This window comes from Homo sapiens, chromosome 17, assembly GCF_000001405.40.
Source record: "Homo sapiens chromosome 17, GRCh38.p14 Primary Assembly".
NCBI lineage: Eukaryota > Metazoa > Chordata > Mammalia > Primates > Hominidae > Homo > Homo sapiens.
This window is the reverse complement of record NC_000017.11, coordinates 3156024-3178901: the sequence shown is the minus strand read 5'-3', so window position 1 is coordinate 3178901 and position 22878 is coordinate 3156024. Positions and strand designations below refer to the sequence as shown.

The window sequence follows — 22878 nt, the reverse complement described above, 5'->3', positions numbered from 1 at the left end:
ACTCAGGACTTGCTTTATGAATCTGGGTGCTCCTGTATTGGGTGCATATATATTTAGGATAGTTAGCTCTTCTTGTTGAATTGATCCCTTTACCATTATGTAATGGCCTTCTTTGTCTCTTTTGATCTTTGTTGGTTTAAAGTCTGCTTTATCAGAGACTAGGATTGCAACCCCTGCCTTTTTTTGTTTTCCATTTGCTTGGTAGATCTTCCTCCATCCTTTTATTTTGAGCCTATATGTGTCTCTGCACGTGAGATGGGTTTCCTGAATACAGCACACTGATGGGTCTTGACTCTTTATCCAATTTGACTGTCTGTGTCTTTTAATTGGAGAATTTAGTCCATTTAAAGTTAATATTGTTATGTGTGAATTTGATCCTGTCATTATGATGTTAGCTGGTGATTTTGCTTGTTAGTTGATGCAGTTTCTTCCTATTCTCCATGGTCTTTACATTTTGGCATGATTTTGCAGCAGCTGGTACCAGTTGTTCCTTTCCATGTTTAGCGCTTCCTTCAGGAGCTCTTTTAGTGCAGGCCTGGTGGTGACAAAATCTCTCAGCATTTGCTTGTCTGTAAAGGATTTTTTTTCTCCTTCACTTATGAAGCTTAGTTTGGCTGGATATGAAATTCTGGGTTGAAAATTCTTGTCTTTAAGAATGTTGAATATTGGCCCCCACTGTCTTCTGGCTTGTAGGGTTTCTGCCGAGAGATCAGCTGTTAGTCTGATGGGCTTCCCTTTGAGGGGTAACCCGACCTTTCTCTCTGGCTGCCCTTAACATTTTTTCCTTCATTTCAACTTTGGTGAATCTGACAATTACGTGTCTTGGAGTTGCTCTTCTCAAGGAGTATCTTTGTGGTGTTCTCTGTATTTCCTGAATCTGAACGTTGGCCTGCCTTGCTAGATTGGGGAAGTTCTCCTGGATAATATCCTGCAGAGTGTTTTCCAACTTGGTTCCATTCTCCCCATCACTTTCAGGTACACCAATCAGACGTAAATTTGGTCTTTTCACATAGTCCCATATTTCTTGGAGGCTTTGCTCATTTCTTTTTATTCTTTTTTCTCTAAACTTCCCTTCTGGCTTCATTTCATTCATTTCATCTTCCATCGCTGATACCCTTTCTTCCAGTTGATCGCATCGGCTCCTGAGGCTTCTGCATTCTTCACGTAGTTCTCGAGCCTTGGTTTTCAGCTCCATCAGCTCCTTTAAGCACTTCTCTGTATTGGTTATTCTAGTTATATATTCTTCTAAATTTTTTTCAAAGTTTTCAACTTCTTTGCCTTTGGTTTGAAAGTCCTCCCGTAGCTCAGAGTAATTTGATCATCTGAAGCCTTCTTCTCTCAGCTCGTCAAAGTCATTCTCCATCCAGCTTTGTTCCGTTGCTGGTGAGGAACTGCATTCCTTTGGAGGAGGAGAGGTGCTCTGCGTTTTAGAGTTTCCAGTTTTTCTGTTCTGTTTTTTCCCCATCTTTGTGGTTTTATCTACTTTTGGTCTTTGATGATGGTGATGTACAGATGGGTTTTTGGTGTAGATGTCCTTTCTGTTTGTTAGTTTTCCTTCTAACAGACAGGACCCTGAGCTGCAGGTCTGTTGGAGTACCCTGCCTTGTGAGGTGTCAGTGTGCCCCTGCTGGGGGGTGCCTCCCAGTTAGGCTGCTCGGGGGTCAGGGGTCAGGGACCCACTTGAGGAGGCAGTCTGCCGGTTCTCAGATCTCCAGCTGCGTGCTGGGAGAACCACTGCTCTCTTCAAAGCTGTCAGACAGGGACATTTAAGTCTGCAGAGGTTACTGCTGTCTCTTTGTTTGTCTGTGCCCTGCCCCCAGAGGTGGAGCCTACAGTTGCAGGCAGGCCTCCTTGAGCTGTGGTGGGCTCCACCCAGTTGGAGCTTCCCGGCTGCTTTGTTTACCTAAGCAAGCCTGGGCAATGGTGGGCGCCCCTCCCCCAGCCTCGCAGCCGCCTTGCAGTTTGATCTCAGACTGCTGTGCTAGCCATCAGCGAGACTCCGTGGGCGTAGGACCCTCCGAGCCAGGTGTGGGATATAGTCTCGTGGTGCGCCGGTTTTTAAGCTGGTCTGAAAAGCGCAATATTCAGGTGGGAGTGACCCGATTTTCCAGGTGCGTCCGTCACCCCTTTCTTTGACTCGGAAAGGGAACTCCCTGACCCCTTGCGCTTACCAGGTGAGGCAATGCCTCGCCCTGCTTCGGCTTGCGCACGGTGCGCGCACCCACTGGCCTGCGCCCACTGTCTGGCACTCCCTAGTGAGATGAACCCGGTACCTCAGATGGAAATGCAGAAATCACCCGTCTTCTGCGTCGCTCACGCTGGGAGCTGTAGACCGGAGCTGTTCCTATTCGGCCTTGTTGGCTCCTCCCCCTGTTTTCCCTTACTTCTGACTCCTCTTCTTCTCCCCTTTGCTAGAAGGATGCGCATTGGAATTAGGGGTGCTGTGGAAGGCAATCGAGTTCATTTTTCTTGTTTTTTTTTGTTTTGTTGTGTTTTGAGATGGAGTCTCACTCTTGTTGCCCAGGCAGGAATGCAGTGGTGCCATCTCGGCTCACTGCAGCCTCCGCCTCCCAGGTTCAAGGGATTCTCCTGCCTCAGCCTCCCATGTAGCTGGGACTACAGGCACCCGCCATCATGCTTGGCTAATTTTTGTATTTTTTAGTAGAGGTGGGGTTTCACTATGTTGGCCAGGCTGGTCTCCAACTCCTGACCTCAGGTGTCTGTCCACCTCAGCCTCCCAAAGTGCTGGTAGAGGCTGTTTTGCCTGTTTAGGGCTTTCAGTGATAGGGAGCCCCCCACAGTAAAGCGACCCACCCCACTTTGGATTGGGTTCCCATTTTACCTTGTGATGCTGTAGCCTGGGCATTTTTTAGTACTAACCAGTTGGGGCTCACTGGACATTCAGGAGCATATTAATTTCCATATATTTGTATATTTTCCAAAAATTTCTCTCATTATTGATTTCTAGTTTTATTCCATTGTGGTCAGAGAAGATACTTGATATTATTTGAGTTTTTTTGAATGTGTTAAGACTTGTTTTGTGACCTAACATATGGTTTATCCTTGAGAATGATTCATGTGCTAAGGAGAGGAATGTGAATTCAGCAGCCATTGGAGCAAATGTTCTATAAATATCAATTAGATCCATGTAGGTCTATAGTGCAGATTAAGTCTGAAGTTTCTTTGTTGACTTTCTTTCTGGAAGATCTGTCCAATGCTAGTGGGCTGTTGAAGTCTCCAGTATTATTGCATTGGGGTTTATCTCTCTCTTTAGCTCTAATAATGTTGCTTTATATATCTAGGTGCTCCAATGTTGGGTGCATACATATTTAAAATTGTTATATCCTTTTGCTGAATTGATCCCTTTATCATTATATAATGACCTTCTTTGTCTCTTTTTATAGTTTTTGCTTGAAATTTATTTCGTCTAATATAAATATACCCACTCCTACTCTTTTTCCACCCCTTTATTTTCAGTCTCTGTGTACCTTTATAGATGAAGCGTGTTTCTTGTAGGCAACAGATCACTGGGTCCTGCTTTTTTTCAGTCAGCCACTCTATGTTTTTGATTGGATAGTTTAGTCCATTTACATTCAGTGTTATTATTGATGAGTAAGGACTTACCACTGCCATTTTATTATTTGTTTTATAGTTGTTGTGTGGTCTTACTTTCCTTCCTATCTTTTCCTTTTTTTTTTTTTTTTTTTTTTTTGAGATGGAGTCTTGCTCTGTCGCCAGGCTAGAGTGCAGTGGCACGATCTCGGCTCACTGCAATCTCTGTTTCCCAGGTTCAAGTGATTCTCCTGCCTCAGCCTCCCAAGTAGCTGGGATTACAGGTGCCCGCCACCATGCCTGGCTAATTTTTGTATTTTTAGTAGAGATGGAGTTTCACCATGTTGGCCAGGATGGTCTCGATCTCCTGACCTCGTGATCCACCCACCTCGGCCTCCCAAAGTGCTGGGATTACAGGCATGAGCCACTGCGCCTGGCCCTCCTTCCTTTTTTTTATTTTAGTGAAGGTGATTTCCTCTGATAGTATGTTTTAATTTCTTGCTTTTTATTTTTTTGTGTATCCATTGTATGTTTTTGGATTTGAGGTTATCATGAGGTTTGCAAATAATGTGTTATAACCTATTATTTTAAACTGATGGCAACTTAACATGATTGCATAAACAAACAAGCAAAAAGAAAATGAATAAAAACTTTACACTTTAACTTCATCCCTCCACCTCTCTAATTTTTTGATGTTTCTATTTATATCTTATTGTACTATCTGTGTCTTAAAAAGTTGTTTTGGTAATTATTTTTGATTGGTTCTTCTTTAAGTCTTTCTAATTAAGATCAGAAGAATTTACACACCACAATTAATATTCTATGTACTTACCATTAGCACTGAGTTTTGTGCCTTCAGCTGATTTCTTATTGCTCGTTAACATCTTTGTCTTTCAGATCGGAGACCATCCTTTAGGATTTCTTGTAGAACAGGTCTAGTGTTAATGAAATCCCTCAGCAAGCTGTTTCTCTGGGAAGGTTTTTACTTCTCCTTAGTATTTGAAGGATATTTCCACCAGATACACTCTTCTAGGGTAAACTTTGTTTTTTCCTTCAGTGCTTTAAATATATCATGCTACTCTCTCCTACCCTTTTCTCCACTGAAAAGTCTGCAGCCAGATATATTGGAGCTTCATTGTATGTTATTTTTTTCTTTTCTCTTGCTCCTTTTGGGATCCTTTCTTTATCTTTGATCTTTGGAAGTTTGATTATTAAATAACTTGAGGTAGTCTTTTTTGGGTTAAATCTGCTTGCTTTTCTACAACCTTCTTGTATATTGATATCTTTCTCTAGGTTTAGGATATTCTCTGCTATTATCCCTTTGAATAAACTTTCTATCATTATCTCTTTACCTCCTCTTTAAGGCCAATCACTCTTAGATTTGCCTTTTTGAGACTATTTTCTAGATCCTGTGGGTATGCTTCATTCTTTTTTATTCTTTTTTTTTTTTTGCCTCCTTTGTGTATTTTCAAATACCCTGTCTTCCAGCTTACTATTTCTTTCTCCTGCTTGATCATTTTTTCTATTAAGAGACTCTGCTGTATTCTTTTGCAGGTCAATTGCATTTTTCAGCTTCAGAATTGCTACTTGATTCTTTTTATCCATTTGAATTTCTTTGTTAAATTTATCTGATAGTATTCTGAGTTCCTTCTCAGTGTTATCTTGAATTTCTTTGAGTTTCCTCAAAACAACTATTTTGAATTCTCTCTCTGAAAGTTCACATATCTCTGTTTCTCCAGGAGTGGTTCCTCTTACCTTATGTAGTTCATTTGGTGAGGCCGTGTTTTCCTGGATTGTCTTGATGCTTGTGGAAGTTTTTCAGTGGCTGAGGATTGAAGGGTTAGATATTTATTGTAGTCTTGCCAGTCTGGACTTGTTTGTACCTGTCCTCTTGGAAATGCTTTCTAGGTATTTGAAGGGACTTGGGTGTTGTGATCTACATTTTTTTTTGTCACTGCAGCCATATCTGCATTAGGGTGCACCTCAAGCTCAGTAATGCTGTGGTTTTTGCCAACTTGTAGAGGTACCTACCTCCTTGGTGGTCTTGGATAAGGTCCAGAAGGATTATCTGGAGTACCAGGCAGAAACTTTTGATCTCTTCCCTTACTTTTTCCAAAACAAATGGAATCTCTCTCTCCCCTTCTCTGTGCTGAGCTTCCTGGAAGCTTCCTGAGCTTCCTGGGGGAGGGGTAACACAAGTACTCCTGTGGCCACCACCACTAGGGCTGTGCTGGGTCAGACCTGAAGACAGCACAGCACTGGGTATCATCCAAGACCCACTGTTACCACTCCTTGGCTACCACTTGTGTTTGCTCAAGGCCCTAGGGCTCTACAGTCAGCAGGTGGTAAAGACAACCAGGCTTGTCTTCTTCACTTTGGACTGCCAAGTCACCCAGGCCCTGGGTGAGTCCAGAGATGCCATCTGGGAGCCAGGGCCTATAGTTGGAAGCCTTAGAAATCTACCTGGTGCTCAATTTACTGCATCTGAAGATGACACCCAAACCACAAGAAAAAGGCCTTCCCACTCTTCCCCCACCTTTCCTCAGACAGAGGAGTCTCTCCCCATGTCCACCACCACCACAGGCCCATAAGAAATACTGACAGGTGTATTAGGCTGTTCTTGCATTTCTATAAACAAATACCTGAGATTGGATAATTTAAAAGAAAAGAGGTTTAATTGGCTCATGGTTCTGCAGCCTATACAGGAAGCATAACACTGGCATCTGCCTCTGGGGAGGCCTCAGATAGCTTTTACTCATGGTGGAAGTTTGAGGCACTTTACATGGTGAGAATGGGAGCAATAGAGAGAGAGGTGGGGAAGGGGCGTGCTTCACACTTAATCATATTTTGCAAGAACTCACTTATTATCACAAGAAAGCACCAAGCTATGGAGAATCTCCACCCATGACCCAAACACCTCCCATCAGGCCCCATCTGCAACACTGGAAATTATAATTCAACATGAGATTTGGGCAAGGACAAATATCCAAACTATATAATACCATTTCTGGTCCCCCACAAATCTCATGTACTTCTCACATTGCAAAACACAATCATGCTTTCTCAACAGTCCCCCAAAGTCTTAACTTGTTCCAAAAGTTCAATTTCTCATCCAAGACAAGGCAAATCCCTTCCACCTGAGTTTATAAAATCAAAAACAAGTTATGGACTTCCAAGATACAATGGGGCTATAGGCATTGGTTAAACATTCTCATTGCAAAAGGGAGAAATTGGCCAAAAGAAAGGAGCTGTAGGTTCCACTCAAGCTTGAAACCCAGCAGGGCAGTCATTAAATCTCAAAGCTCCAAAATAATCTTTGACTCCGTGTCCTACATCCTGGGCACACTGATATGAGGAATGGCCTCCCAAGGCTTTGGGCAGCTCTACCACTGTGGCTTTCCAGGGTTCAGCCCCTGTGGCTTCTCTCATGGCCTGGAGTTGAGTACCTGTGGCTTTTCCAGGTATAGGGTGCAAGCTGCCAGTGGATCTACCATTCTAGGGTCTGCAGGGTGGTGGCCCTTTTTCCACAGCTCCATTAAGCTGTGCCCCAGTGGGCACACTTTGTATGGGTCCTCCAATCCCCCATTTCCTCTCCTTACTGCCCTGTGAGGGCTCTGCCTCTGCAGCAGACTTCTGCCTGGATGTCAGGCTTTCCCATACATCCTCTGGCATCTAGGTGAAGGCTGCCAAGCCTCCTTCACTCTTGCTGTGCCCCTGCAAGCTTAACACCACATGGAAGCCACTAAGACTTATGGCTTACATTCTCCAAAGTGGCAGCATGAGCTGTACCTGGGCTCCTTTGAATCACAGCTGGAGCTGGAGTGGCTGGGATATGGGAACAGTGTCCCAAGGCTACACAGGGCAGCAGAACCCTGAGCCTGGCCCAAGAAACCATTCTTCCCTCCTAGGCCTCTGGATCCATGATGGGAGGGGCTGCCATGAAGGTCTCTGAAATGCTTTCAAGGACTTTTTCACATTGTCTTGGATAGTAGCACTTGCCTTCCCTTTAGTTATGCAAGTATCTCTAGCAAGTGGTTGCTCTACAGCCTGCTTGAATTCCTCTCCATAAAAAGTTCTTTCTTTCTTTGCCACATAGCCAGGCTCCACATTTTTCAAACTTTTACATTCTGCTTCCTGTTTAAATATAAATTCCAACCTTAAGTTATTTCTTTGCTCCTGCATCTGAGTGTGGGCTGTTAGAAGCTGCCAGGCAATTTCTTCAATGTTTTGCTGCTTAGAAATTTCTTCTGCCAAATATCTTAAGTCATCATTCTCAAGTTCGACCTTCCACAGATCCCTAGAGCATGAACACAATGCACCCCAGCTCTTTGCTAAGGCATAAACTGGGTGACCTTTGCTCCAGTTTCTAGTAAGTTCCTCATTTACATCTGAATCCTCATCAGCCTGGACTTCACTGTCCATATTACCATCAGTATTTTGGTTACAACGATTTAGCCAGTCTTTAAGAAGTTCGAAACTTTTCCACATTTTTCTGTCTTCTTCTGAGCCCTTCAAACTCTTCCATCCTCTGCCCATTACCCAGTTCTAAAGTCACTTCCACATTTTCAGATGTAGCCATTTTCAGGTATCTTTATAGAAATTCCCCTCTTCTCAATACCAATTTTCCATGTTAGGCTGCTCTTGCATTGCTATAAAGAAATATCCAAGACTGGGTAATTTATAAGAAAAGAGGTTTAATAGGCTTACAGTTCTGCAGGCTGTACATCAGCATCTGCTTCCGGGAAGGCCTCAGGGAACTTTTCCTCTGGCAGAAGGGTGCAGACACTTCACATGGCAAAAGTGGGAGAGAAAGACAGTTGTTATGGGAGGTGCTACACACGTAAACAACTAGATCTCTCAAGAACTCGCTCATGATCACGAGGCGTGCACCAAACCGTAAGGAATCTGCCTTCCTGACCCAAGCACCTCCCACCAGGCCCTATCTCCAACACTGGAGATTACAATTCAACATGAGATTTGGGCAGGGATAAATATCCAAACTATGTCAGCAGGCTACTGCCGGTGTTCGCTTAAGGCCCCAGGGCTCTTCAATCAGCCTCATGGTGAATGCTGCCAGGCCTGGGACTCACCCTTCAGGGCAAAAGGCTCCCTTTGGGTCCAGGGTATGCCCAGAAATGCCATCCAAGAGCCAAGAACTGGAATCAAGGACTCCAACAGCCTGCTTGGTGCTCTACCCGACTGTGGCTGAGCTGGTACCTAAGCTGCAAGACAAAGTCCCCTTTGTGCTTCCCTCTGCTTTTCTTAACCAGAAGGCATCTCTTTTCATAGACAGTACAGCTGTGAGTGTACTGGGTCTAACCTGAAGCCAGAATATCTGAGTCTCACCCAAGGCTGATGGTGTGTACTACTTGGTTACTGCTGCTGATTATTTGGGGCCCAAGGGCTCTTTAGTCAGCAGGTGATAAATCTTGCCAGGACTGAGTTCTTCCCTTCAAGGCAGCAGGTTCCCTTCTGGCCCAGGGTGTGTCCAGAAATGTCTGGGAATTTGGGCCTGAAATGGGGGCCTTGCAACTGCCCAGTGCCCTGGGCACTGTGGCTGAGCTGGTATCCAAGTTGCAAGACAAAGTCCTCTTATTCACTCTCAAGCAGAAGGGCCTCTTTCAAAGCTGCAAGCTATGCTGCCTCGGGTTGGTGAGGGGTGGCACAAGCACTCCTTTAGCTGCCCCATCTGGTGTCTCACTAGGTCACGTGCCCTCCCCTCCAAGTCCACTATCTCTGAGCCCAGCACAGCACCAGGACTCACCTAGCAGTTTCAGTCCTTGTGGCCTAGACTGCATTTCAAGTTTTTGCAGGACCCCAGAGTACTTTAGCCTGTGGTGGTGAGCCTTGCTGAAACTTGGGTTCTGACCCAGCTGCTGGGATGGGCAATTTTCCTCTGGCTAGAGTTTGTCTAAATGCGCCCTTCATGGACATTAGCTGAGTTTTACCCACGGTTGGCAGCACTGACTTTCAATACAAAGTCCCACACTCACTGCATTCTCTCTCCCCCAAGCACTCAGTCTCTCTCTGCACCATGTAGCCACTGCTGGGGGATGGGAGAAGGGCGACGTCTGTAATTCCAGACTGTCTTTCCTACACTTTTCAGTGCCTCTTTCAGCAATACGAAGTTCAAAACAGGTGCTGTGATTGCTTGCCTGATTTTGGATCTCATGAAGGTGGTTTTTGTGTGTAGATAGTTGTAAATTTGGTGTTCTTACAAGGAGGATGATCAGTGTAGGTTTCTATTGAGCCATCTTCCTCTGCATCCTCTATAGCTATTTTGTTGAGAGTTTTTATCAAGAAAGAATGTTCAATTTTGTTAAATGTTTTTTTCTACTTCTGTTGAGACACTTGTGTCTCTGTGATCATTTATTTCTTTCATTTTAAAATTCATTCTGTTAACACATTTTTATTTTGTTCTCTTAATGTGGTGTATCACATTGATTGATTTGCATCTGTCAATCATTCTTGTACCCTAGGGATACATCCCACTGGATTGTGGTGTATGGGCCATTAAATTGGGTTTGCTAGTATTTCTTCAGGGATTTTGTATCTATGTTCATCAGGGATATTGGCATGTAGCAGCGGTTCCTGCTTTGTCTCCAGAGATGGGGGTGCAATTGCTTGGGCTCTGCCCGGCTGTGTCAGGTGGAGTCAGCATTGGCAAAGACTGTGGAGGTCCTCAGTGGGGAAAGGTGTCCAAAGTGGAGAGAGGTCCTGAAGGATCTCCTACTCTTCTTTTCCCCTCATGAGGGGAAGTTGCTGCTGGCAGGATCCCTCTTGGCACCTGCTTTTCCAGCCTGGGGGATGGAATAATGCCAGAAAAATGTTCATATACAGGTATGCCTCATTTTATTGTATGAAGATATTTCAAATTTACAAATTGAAGGTTTATGGCAACCCTGCCTTGAGCAAGTCTATTGGTGCCATTTTTCCAACAACATGTGCTCACTTCAGGTCTCTGTGTCAAATTAATTCTCTCAATATTTAAAACTTTTTTGTTATTATATCTGTTATGGTGATTTATGATCATTTACCTTAGATGTTACCCTTGTAATTGGTTTTTGGCTCCACGAACTGCACCCATGTAAGATGGTGAACTTAACTGATAAATGTTGTATGTGTTCTGACTGCCCCACCAACCAGCAATTCCATTGCCTCTGTCCCTCTCCTTGGGTCTCTCTATTCCCTGAGACACAACAATATTGAAATTAGGTCAGTCAATAACCCTACAATGGCCTTTAAGTGTTGAAGTGAAGGAAGAGTTGCATGCCTTTCACTTTATTTTATTATTATTTTTGAGACAGGGTCTCACTATATTGCCCAGGCTGGTCTCAAACTCTTGAGCTTGAGAAACCCTCTTGCCTCAGCCTCACAAATAGCTGGGATTACAGGTGTGCACCACTGTACCCACCTTTCTCACTTTAAACCAAAATCGAGAGATTATTAAGCTTAGTGAGGAAGGCGTGTCTAAAGCAGGGATAGACTGGAAGCTAAGCCTTGCGTCAAACAGCCAAGTTGTGAATGCAAAGAAAAGGTTCTTGAAGAAAGTGAAAGTGCTACCCCAGTGAACTTATGAAAGATAAGGAAGTGAAACCGTCTTATTACTGACGTGGAGAGGGGTTGAGTGGTCTGGATAAGATCAAACCAGCCAAAACATTCCCTTTAGCCAAAGCCTAATCCAGAGCAATACCCTGACTCTCTTCAATTCTATGAAAACTGAGAGAGGGGAGGAAGCTACACAAGAAAAGTTGGAAGCTAGCAGAGGTTGATTCATAAGGTTTAAGAAAATAAGCCATCTCCGATATGGTGAAACCCTGTCTCTACTAAAAATACAGAAATTAGCTGGGTGTGGTGGCGGATGCCTGTAGTCCCAGCTACTTGGGAGGCTGAGACATGAGAATCGCTTGAACCTGGGAGGCAGAGGCTGCAGTGAGCCGAGATTGTGCCACTGCACTCCAGCCTGGGTGACAGAGCAAGACTCCATCAGAAAGAGAAAGAGAGAAATAGAGGAAGGAAGGGAAAGAGAGAGAGAGAGGAGGGAAAAGGAAGGGACCATCTCCGTAACACAAGTGTGAGAAGATGCCATCTAGAACTTTTTGAGCGAGAGAGGAGAAATCAAGACCTGGCTTCACAGGTTCAAAGAACAGACTGACTCTTGTTAGGATCGAATGCAGCTGGTTACTTGAAGTTAAAGCTAATGCTCTTTTACCATTTCAAAAATCCTACAGCCCTTAACGATTATACTAAATGTATTCTGCCTGTGCTCTATCAGTGGAATAACAAAATTCTGGATGACTGCACATCTGTTTACAGCATGGTTTACCGAATATTGTAAGCCACTGTTGAGACCTGCTGCTCAGAAAAAAAAGATTCCTTTCAAAATATCACTGCTCATTGACAATGCACCTGTTCACTCAAGGACTCTGATGGAGACACACAAGGAGATTAATGTTGTTTTCAAACACAACGTCCATTCTGCAGCTCGTAGATCGGGGAGTCATGTCTCCTTTTTTTTTTTTTTTTAAGTCTCAGGAGCTCTCTCCACTTTGGACACCTTTCCCCACTGAGGACCTCCACAGTCTTTGCCAATGCTGACTCCACCTGACAGAGCGGGGCAGAACCCAAGCAATTGTACCCCCTTTGAAGCAAGAGTTTCACTCTTGTTGCCCAGGCTGGAGTGCAATGGTGTGATCTCAGCTCACCACAACCTCCGCCTCCTGGGGTCAAGTGATTCTTCTGCCTCAGCCTCCCTAGTAGCTGGGACCACAGGCATGCAACACCACACCCGGCTAACTTTGCATTTTCAGTGGAGATGGGGGTCTCTCCAAGTTGGTCAGGCTGGTCTCGAACTCCCGACCTCAGGTGATCTGCCTGCCTCGGCCTCCCAAAGTGCTGGGATTACAGGCACAAACCACCGCACCTGGCCAAGTCATGTCTATTTTCAAGTCTATTATATAAGAAACACGTTTTGTAAGGCTGTGGCTGCCATAGACAGTGATTCCACTGATGTACCTGGGCAAAGTAAACTGAAAACCTTCTGGAAAGGATTCGCCATTCTGTTTTTGTGTTTTGGTTTTTGTTTTGTTTGAGATGGAGTCTTGCTCTGTCACCCAGGCTGGAGAGCAGTGGTGTGATCTCAGCTCACTGCAACCTCTGCCTCCAGGGTTCAAACTATTCTCCTGCCTCAGCATCCCTAACAGCTGGGATTATAGGCGCCTGCCACCGCTCCCGGCTACTTTTTGTGTTTTTAGTGGAGACAAGGTTTCACCATCCTCACCAGGTATGCCTGTGTTTTTCTATGCTGCAGCCACTCTGTTTCTGTGCTACACTGTGCTGCTGAACCTTCTTAAATGTACTGTGGCACTCTCCCAGAGCTATTTTTGTCCCTGAGAAGTTGTTAAATGTTTGGGACTTCCTGGTTGCCATTTTGCTGACATCACTGCATCAATGCCTAGTTTGAATTTTGTCTGATATTTTCTCATGCGTAGATTCAGGCTATGAAGCTGTGGGCAGGAGCATGACAGAAATGCTATGTCCTTCTGCGTGCGGTCTATGAGAAGGCACATAATTTATCCCAATATTGGTGATGCTGTTGTTGACCACTTGTGAAAGGTGATATATACTAGTCTGTCTACTGAAGAGATACAATTTTTTCTTTGTAATGAATAAATATCCTGGGACAACTGTTATTGTGTCTGCTAAATATGATTTTTTTTCTGATTCAATCATGCCTTATACATTAGTTGAAATTATATCCAAGGAAGATTTTTTTTATTATTTGTTTATTCATCTGTTTGTTCATTTATTCATTCATTTATTAATCCATTTGCAGCAGTATGATAAACTTATTTTGATTTTATCTATGAGTTATAATTCATTCCTATCTTTATATTGTTGCTTGATTTTCCCACTTTGTCACTGGGAACCCTTCGAGTTGGCTTCTGTGTCTTTTGGCATGCTTTCAGCAATTTTGGAACACTTTCCTCCTTTCTGGCAAAACAAATGTTCCAGACTCATCTTTTATTTTCTCTGTCCAGAAGTGGAATTATACGTTTCTCCAAAAAGTCTTTATTTCTCTTAGAAGAGAATGCTATTTCAAAGCTGAGGTCTGGGTAATTAATAGATGTGCTCATTGCTATTGAGTTGTCATTGCTTCGAGGTCCTTTCAATGGACAGAGCCAAGACATACGCATATACACAAATACACACACCTCCATCTCCTCTCTCTCCCCAGAACTATGCGCTTATAACCATACTTTCAATTCCAGTGCAACATCTCAGGGTTCATTCTAGCCCTTCCCCTTTCTGTATTTGTTTGTTTGTTTTGAGATGGAGTCTCACTCTGTCACCCAGGCTGGAGTACAGTGGCACGATCTCGGCTCACTGCAGCCTCCATCTCCCGGGTTCAAGTGATTCTCCTGCCTCAGCCTCCCAAGTAGCTGGGATTACAGATGCCTGCCACCATGCCTGGCTAATTTTTGTATTTTTAGTAGAGACGGGGTTTCACCGTATTGGTCAGGCTGGTCTAGAACTCCTGACGTCAAATGGTCTACCGCCTCAGCCTCCCAAAGTGCTGGGATGACAGGCGTGAGCCACCATGCCTGGCCAACCCTTTCCGTATTTGTAACTCCCTTCTTCAACATTATGCAACCTGGCTCTTATTATGTTGTCCATATTATATTTATTTATTTGCTAAATCTTAGAATATACATAAAGTATTTCCATACTACTGTAAAAAGAAAATAACAAGAGAATATATTTTTTAAAGTTAGTTTTCTTTATCCTGAACATATATAGTCAAATTGCTATGTTCAAGAGTTGCTTGGATTAGATCTCCTTCCTTTTCTTCAGTGTGGTTTGTTATTAATTTGAAATACAGTTAGATTTATTTGTTTCTAGTTGTATTATTTTTTGGTTTTCTTCTATACTTGATTTTATATACATATCTGTTTGTATAGCTGTATCAACATCTATACCTAGAGCTCAATCTATCTGCCTATATGGTATGTTTTATGATTTTATAACACATTCCCCTCCCACTCCCACTGTCTTTCAAATGAGCAACATAACCACACCGAAAGGGGGCAGGGAGAATTAATCTAGGTCTTTTTTTTTTAAAAGGAGTCTCGCTCTGTTACCCAGGCTGGAGTGCAATGGCGTGATCTCAGCTCACTGCAATCTCTTCCACCTCCCGGGTTCAAGCAGTTCTCCTGCCTCAGCCTCCCAAGTAGCTGGGATTACAGGCGCCCGCCACCATGCCCGGCTAATTTTTGTATTTTTAGAAGAGATGAGGTTTCACCATGTTGGCCAGGCTGGTCTTGAACTCCTGACCTTGTGATCTGCCTGCCTCAGCCTCCCAGAGTGCTGGGATTACAGGCGTGAGCCACCGTGCCCGGCCGGGTTAGTGATTCTAAGACAACTGTAAGTATATTCTAAAATTGAGCTTTTCTTTTCCAGTCTTTTTCTGGAGGAAGAGCAATCAAGTTTGTGGCCACAGAGATGCTGGTGGGATGGACATGGTTCTGGATCTGAGCTCTAATCACAATTGCAGCAGCTGCACCCAGAGGACCAGTGCTGGATCCCCACTCTGGGGAAGGCAATGGCTGTGCACCCTGGAGCTCATGTTCACTGGGGATCTGCAGGTGGAGCTGGAGGTATGTCCACAGCCCGCAGTTTTCTAACATCTGCTGCCCCTTGTTCCCAAACTACTTCTTGCTGGAGGCTCACGAAGCACTGTGTCTTTCTCTTGGCATCTCCCCATTTCCTGACCAAGTTTAGAATGAGCTTCTCATAAAGACTCCAAGAAAAAACCCACACTGAAATGAGAATGGCCATGGCTTCACAATTTCTCTATGGTCTCGAGAGATGATTCCCTCCAGGCAACACATTTTAATTTTAGCAGAGGCCTTTTGCGACTTAAGAGTATCATTGCAAATATGAAAGGAGATTTTTTTTGATAGATTGGTTAGCTCTTTAGTTCCACCCAAGAAACAGGCAGATAATAACTTCTCATGCAAGAAATCCCAGTACTGTTGGACCACATCCTTCCCCATTCCAAGAAACTGCTCCTGAGGGGATACAGAGGGCATGGGAAATGACAAAGCTCCCATTTCCCAAGGGACACCCCAGGGAACTCACACAGAGCCTACCTGGGAAATAAATAAATAGGACAAGTCCCCTGTAGCCCAGGGCTGGAGAACCTAGGATTATTCCAGAGGTCGTGGGGTTAATGAACAGAAATCTCCCATCTGCTATCCTGCTGCAGTTGGGGTACAGCAAAGTTCTGCTGCCACAGAGGAAGGGGAACCTGGCCGTGTTCATCGCGCCACAGGGGGACAGCCTCCGAGTTCTCAAGCAGCTTTTTAATGTGTATTTCCGATGATGTAGAGGACAGAAGAGGCAACAGGTCATTGTGATGGTGGCTGTCGTGGACACAGGCTGGAAGGTAAGCCTCCCAGCTGGGGTGGGACACAAGTCCCAGGAGAGCCTCTGTTCAACAGAGAAATGGTGCTGAGAGAATATGAAAGTACCTAAGACATGTTCTCCATCTCCAAGAGTCAAAGTCAAGTAGGGAATAAAGACCTAATGATTTGATAACAAAAATATAATGAAATCTTGAAACTTGCACTTTTGGGGAGGAAGGACTGTAAAAGTCTAAAAGTCTTTTCATCCCAAAGACAAGAGATTCCCGAGGCAGTTTATGGAGTCACCAAATGAAATCTCGACACTTGCAGCACTTTGGGAGGCCGAGGCGGGTGGATCACGAGGTCAGGAGTTTAAGACCAGCCTGGCCAAGATGATGAAACCCGGTCTCTACAAAAAATACAGAAATTAGCCAGGTGTGGTGGTGGGCGCCTGCAATCCTAGCTACTAGGGAGGCGGAGGCAGGGAATTGCTTGAACCCAGGAGACGGAGGTTGTAGTGAGCCAAGATCGTGCCACTGCACTCCAGCGTGGGCGACAGAGTGAGACTCTGTCTCAAAAAAAAAAAAAAAATCTTGACACTTGCACTTTTTGGGAGGAAGGACTAAGAGAGCGGATACAGCATCTGATTAATGGGCCTGCTGGCCAGAAGGAAAAGCTATTTGGGTCCAAATATAAGCTGTGCATGGCCACTCTTCTTTGCAAAGCACACCACACCAGGGCATAACATTTGGAATCAAAAGAGTAATGATCAGATCCAGATTCTGCTACTTATCAGGGGTGTGACTTTGGGGTAACTCACTCAGCCTCTTAAGCCTCAGCGTGCTCCTTTCACACAGGATGATAGCCAGGTCTGTCTCCAGTGACTCTAGAGGGAATTTAGGACATTCTTGGGTCACGGCTCCTAGATACAATGCAAGGTTCTGGACTGGATTCCTATTTTAACAAAGCAGACAAAAAGGATAGTTTCAGGGAAACTGGAAAGATTTGAATATGGCCCAGTAATGAATAATAATAAGAAATCATCATTAATTGAGTTGGTGTGAAAGTGCTATTTGGGGCAAGTGGAAGAAGGTGTTTTTTTTTTAAAGAGATGTAGGCTGAATATTTAGGGGTGTAATGCCACAATAATTACAATTTACTTTAAAATATTGCAACATAAAAATGTAAATTTAAAAAGCCTATGTAGGGTGCAGATAATATTAATATGAACCCTCCAGAAGTGATCATCTGTTTTGTAGAGTAAAAACTTAAGAATTCCTCAAAAGTTTCACAGGAAAGCAACAAGAGATAAAAATAACGAGAAAAGGCCGGGCGCGGTGGCTCACGCCTGTAATCCCAGCACTTTGGGAGGCCAAGGCGGGCGGATCACGAGGTCAGGAGATCGAGACCATCCCGGCTAACACGGTGAAACCCCGTCTCCACTAAAAAAAAAAAAAAAAAAAAAATACAAAAAATTAGCCAGGTGTGGTGCAGTCGCCTGTAGTCCCAACTACTCCGGAGGCTGAGGCAGGAGAATGGCGTGAACCCGGGAGGCAGAGCTTACAGTGAGCCAAGATCACGTCACTGCACTCCAGACTGGGAGAGAGAGCAGTCTGGAGTTTTGTTTGTCTCAAACAAAAACAAACAAACAAACAAAAATGAATAAAGACTGGTAGGCTAGATAATGGCTTCGCAAATATGTCCACATCCAAATCTCTGGAACCTGTGTTACTTTACCTGGTATGTGTACTGCCACTGCTGTTGCAACAAATTGTCACAAACTTCGTGGCCTAAAACCACAGAAATGCACTCTCTCTCAGTTCTGGAGGTGTGAAGTCCTAAATCAAGCTGTCAGTAGGGCCACACTGCCTCCAGGGCTCCAGGGGAGGATCCTTCCCTGTCTCTCCAAGCTTCAGGTGGCCGCAGGGGATCCTTGGCTCCTGGCTGCATCACCCCACCTTCTGCCTGATAGTTATAGGGAATAGAGAACTAAAATCCAATGCAAAAATTTGAGAAACTCCAAAGGAAAATATTAGAGCCCTTTGTACTAAAATAGAGACTTGCAATTAGAAATCTAAATGGCTCTCAGAATTCTGCAAATAATTATTGAAGAACAATGGCTTATACATGTACGTATCTTGGAACTTTTAAATTTCAAAGAAAAATATTCACCAACCTCTGTTGAGTACGAATCAGTATTTATTGAGACCTTACTGTCCAGGATACTTTCCAAAGTTCTTTACCTGTTTTATTTAACCTTCACAATACAGTAAAAGGAAGAAACTATTTATTATCTCAATTTACCGGTGAGGAAGTTGACATTTAGAGAAATTACTTAAAATGTTCACATAAGCTGGGCACAGTGGCCTTTGCCTATAGTCCCAGCTATACAAGAGGTTGAGGCAGGAGAATCACTTGAGTGCACATGTTTGAGGCTAAAGTGAGCTATGGTTGCACCACTGCCCTCCAGCCTGGGTGACAGGGCAAGACCCTATCTCTAAAAGTAATAAATAATCATTTAACAATTATTTAAAGTTCATATAACTTTTAAATGGTAGAATCAAGACTCAAGCCCAATTCTCTCAAACTCAAAAACTTGGACTCTTGGGCTCTTGTGTTTGACCACAGCAAGTTGATTCCTTCTCATTTTCTAGGTGAACTCAAAGCTCTTTACCCTCAAAGCGGATCTCTGGCAAGAGGCAAGAACAGGTGACGTTTCCTTTACTAACAGTATGACATTCACTCATTCAACAAATATTAACTGAGTATAAACTATATGACAGGAACCCTGTAAGTATCTGGGGGTAGAAATTATTGCACATAAAAGCCGGGATGGATGGATGGATAGATAAGACACAAGGGATATATATATACACATACATATATGTATATATACACACACATACGTTATATATACACACACATATATATATATGAGTGCAGGCTATATATTTTTTCTCAGCTTTGGTAACCACAGGCTAAAAATAGAAATTGAAAAAAAAAATCACAGCAGCAACAATGACAAAATCTATGAAATAACTTAAGAATAAATGCAAGCTCCGCCTCCCGGGTTCACGCCACTCTCCTGCCTCAGCCTCCCGAGTAGCTGGGACTACGGGCGCCTGCCACCACACCGGGCTAATTTTTTGTATTTTCAGTAGAGGTGGGGTTTCACTGTGTTAGCCAGGATGGTCTCAATCTCCTGACCTCGTGTTCCACTCACCTCAGCCTCCCAAAGTACTGGGATTACAAGCGTGAGCCACCGCGCCTGGCCTTGTTTGATATTTTCTATCCTTCCTTTTTTAATCACTTGATCTGCCTTGGACTGACAAAACCTTCTCTTTTTATTAATGTGTTTCTGTTTCTTCGTGTATCTTTTAAAGAAAATTTCTGTTTTATGTAGTACCCAGATATTATAGATTTATTATACTCTAAGTTCTGGGATACATGTGCAGAATGTGCAGGTTTGTTATATAGGTATACACATGCCATGGTGGTTTGCTGCACCCATCGACCCATCATCTACATTAGGTATTTCTCTTAATGCTATCCCTCCCCTGGCCCCCCACCCCTCAACAGGCCCTAGTGTGTGATGTTCCCCTCCCTGTGTCCCTGTGTTCTCACTGTTCAGCTCCCACTTATGAGTGAGAACATGTGGTGTTTGGTTTTCTGTTCCTGTGTTAGTTTGCTGAGAATGATGGTTTCCAGCTTCATCCATGTCCCTGCAAAGGACATGAACTCATCCTTTTTTTATGGCTGCATAGTATTCCATGGTGTATATGTGCCACATTGTCTTTATCCAGTCTATCATTGATGGGCATTTGGGTTGGTTCCAAGTCTCTGCTATTGTGAATAGTGCTGCAATAAACATACGTGTGTATGTGTCTTTATAGTAGAATGATTTATAATCCCTTGTGTATGTACCCAGTAATGAGGTTGCTGGGTCAAATGGTATTTCTGGTTCTAGATCCTTGAGGAATCACCACACTGTCTTCCACAATGGTTGAACTAAGCCAAACTAAGCTTCATAAATATTATAGATTTTTATTTTGATTGTAGGTTTAGTTTTGTCCTCCTGAATTCTGTTTTTTCGATATAAGGATCACATTGTTTTGGTCACATTAACCTATGTCTTTGCCTATCATTTCATTTTCAATCATTCTGAATTACTTTATTTTAGCAATTTCTCTTATATACAGAATAGAGTTGGGTTTTGCTTTGAGAGTCAGTTTGAAGGATTTTTCTTTTAAAAGGTTCATTAAGCTCATTTACATTTATTAACATAACTGATGTGTTGGTGTGCCATATGACTTTATGTTTAGTATGTAGTCTGCCATTCTCTTTCTGATCATAGGAAGTTTTCATAATGCTAATATCATAATATAATACCTTTAGTCTCTTCTTTCTTTAGACAGTATCTTTTGTTCCTTATTATATACAATGAAATTAACTTGTAAACTTTATTCTCCCGTCTCCTACCTCTTTTTCACCATTCAATATTACTATTTTTTCAAGAATATTCTTTATCCTCTTAGACAAGCTTAAGCTTCTACTATTTGACTTATTTGCTTTATATGATATTCCTTTTCTCCTAAGAGATAATCAGAAACTTATACTTCCTACTTTCTTCCTTTTCGCACTTATTGGCTAGTTATTTCCATATTATTAGCATATATTGCATTTAGGTATTATCCTGTCACCTTTAGCCCCACATTCTGATCCTAGTTTAGTTCTGCAGTAAATCTATATTCAATGCTTTTCACTAAGATTATTCCAACATTTTCCTGATTATATGAACCGCATCTTCTAGTAGAAACCCCAGAAAGAGCCATGGGAACAATAATCCCTGAGTTTCTTTATGTTCAGACTCTTTGCTTGTAGCCCTTATACTTAAAGTACAGACTGGTTGCTATAAAACTCCTGGCTTATCTTTATATTTCTGAGTTTCTTGTAAGTGTTCTTTTATTATTTCCTGGTATAAAAAGTTGCTATCAAGACTGATGTCAACCTGATTTTTTTTTGGTTGGGGAAGAGGAACTGGTTACTTGAAGGATTCTTTGTTTATTTTAAAGGTCTAACAATTTTACTAAGATATTTTTTGGAATTTACTATTTTATGTCCATTTTCCAAGATATATGCCTTTTCGATATGTAGATTAAAGTCTTTTATTTCTGGGAAGTTCATTTTAAATTAATTTTTAATCTTCTATTCTGAAATTTACTTTTTTCTTTGGGATTCTGCTTATAATATACTGAATCTTCTTGGTCAGTCTTCTAGACCTATTTAAGTCTTTCACTCCATTCTTTATTTTTGTTTATTTTGCTTTTCTGATTTCTAGTCTTTAGGTCCTTTATAATGATTTCTGTATTGTTCATTTTTAAAAACTCTTTGTAACTTATTCTTCATCGAGTAAGTAGCTTTTGCTTTAATTTCTTTCCAGACTTCTCTCAGTTCCTATTTCACACCTTCTTGTGGTCAGGCATATTATTTTGTCTGAGTTTACTTATTTCCTCTTTGTAGTATTCTTTCACAATTAGTTCTATCACTTTGAAAATTATTGAAGACATGTTGTAATTCTTGAAGACATGTTGTATTGGAATTTTTCTCAATAGAGACAATTTCCTAGTGAGTTCTCTTGTGATAAAAAGCTTGACTTTTCAGGGGTTCCTTTTTTTATATTTCTGTATAGGTCCAGCAATTTAGTCATTAGTTATGATTCACATTTGAACAATTTGCCTTTTTTCTGTACCAGAGATTTAGCAAGATGAGGGTAACTTGCCCAGATTCTCCATTCAGGGACTCCTTCCTTTGCTACAATGATGAAGGTTGCTTCATCACATGAGGCTTCTGTGTACAAGTGCCTCACCTTTCCTCTTCACCTTTGTTCAGCATGACTTCTTGCCCTGTTTCCTCAGATCTATACATAACTATCCCTCAGGGTTATGCCCTCTGTTTCTAGGCATGATTGTCAGCTAAGGATTTGTAGATTCTGATACTCCCCATTACTCCCTGCCCTACTCACCTACTTTGCTACTTGGCCTTTACTTTCCACATTGATGGGGCTGATTCATGGTGTTTTCTTCCACTCATTTCCAAGGTTTTTTTTTTTTTTTTTTAATTGTGGGATGTTTCTGACACTCAGTTTCAATGAAAGTATATGTATCTGAGCTTATATTGCCCCTCCTTGTCACTTTGCATAGTTCTCAGGGGATACATAAGAAAATCAGGATCTGGACAATCACTGTTTAGTCCCGAATACATAATTCAGATATAAATGGTTCCATGCACCCTTTTCTTAATGTAGTTCCCTTTGTACCCTTTTTATTCTTTCTTCAGATATGTAGTTGTTGAAAAGGATACCAAAATCTTATGAAAGTTTTATCTGTGACTTGATCAAATTATGTTTTAGAACTTCTCCCTTTCACAGAGTCCTCAAAGCCATCACCGCCAGTCAACACTTCACTCCATTCAGTCCAAGGGTGTTTATGCAGATAAAAAACACAGAATGCACTGCTTCGCTGGGTAAAGACAGTCAAGATGCATGTACAGAGGGTGAGAAGACTGATAAATGTTTGCAGAATTGAACTGAATTAAACTGACCCAAACTCATGTTTCACTCCGTGTTTTAAAATTCTCAGCCTTTAGAAGAATAAATTCAGGAAAGGAAAGTAGAAAAGTGGAAACTCTAAATCATTTAATAACATTTATTTCTCTATATTCAAGACACTACTACAGCTACTGTGTGGACGACATAGCATGTTAAAGAATCTATCATTAATACGGGGGCACAAAAATGTTCAAAAAAGAGATGTGTAGTCAAAATATTGGGAAGTTTGGTGCAGGAACAACCTTTTTCTTATAGAAGGACCATGAATTAAGTAGTAGGTGGCATTTGTGTGGAAATGTGTGGAATTTTACC

The 22878-nt window shown here is 42.5% G+C and overlaps 1 long non-coding RNA gene across 1 annotated transcript in view; it reads left to right on the top strand.

Annotated features, from left to right (window-relative positions):
- The first annotated feature begins 1966 nt into the window (after nucleotides 1-1966).
- The window catches only part of LOC100288728 (uncharacterized), a 41967-nt gene continuing 21055 nt past the window's right edge, over nucleotides 1967-22878 (top strand). Inside the window, exons 1-3 of the long non-coding RNA NR_147912.1 lie at nucleotides 1967-2026; nucleotides 15013-15209; nucleotides 18614-18668. This is a non-coding gene — a long non-coding RNA (uncharacterized LOC100288728). The remainder of the gene's footprint in view (nucleotides 2027-15012; nucleotides 15210-18613; nucleotides 18669-22878) is intronic.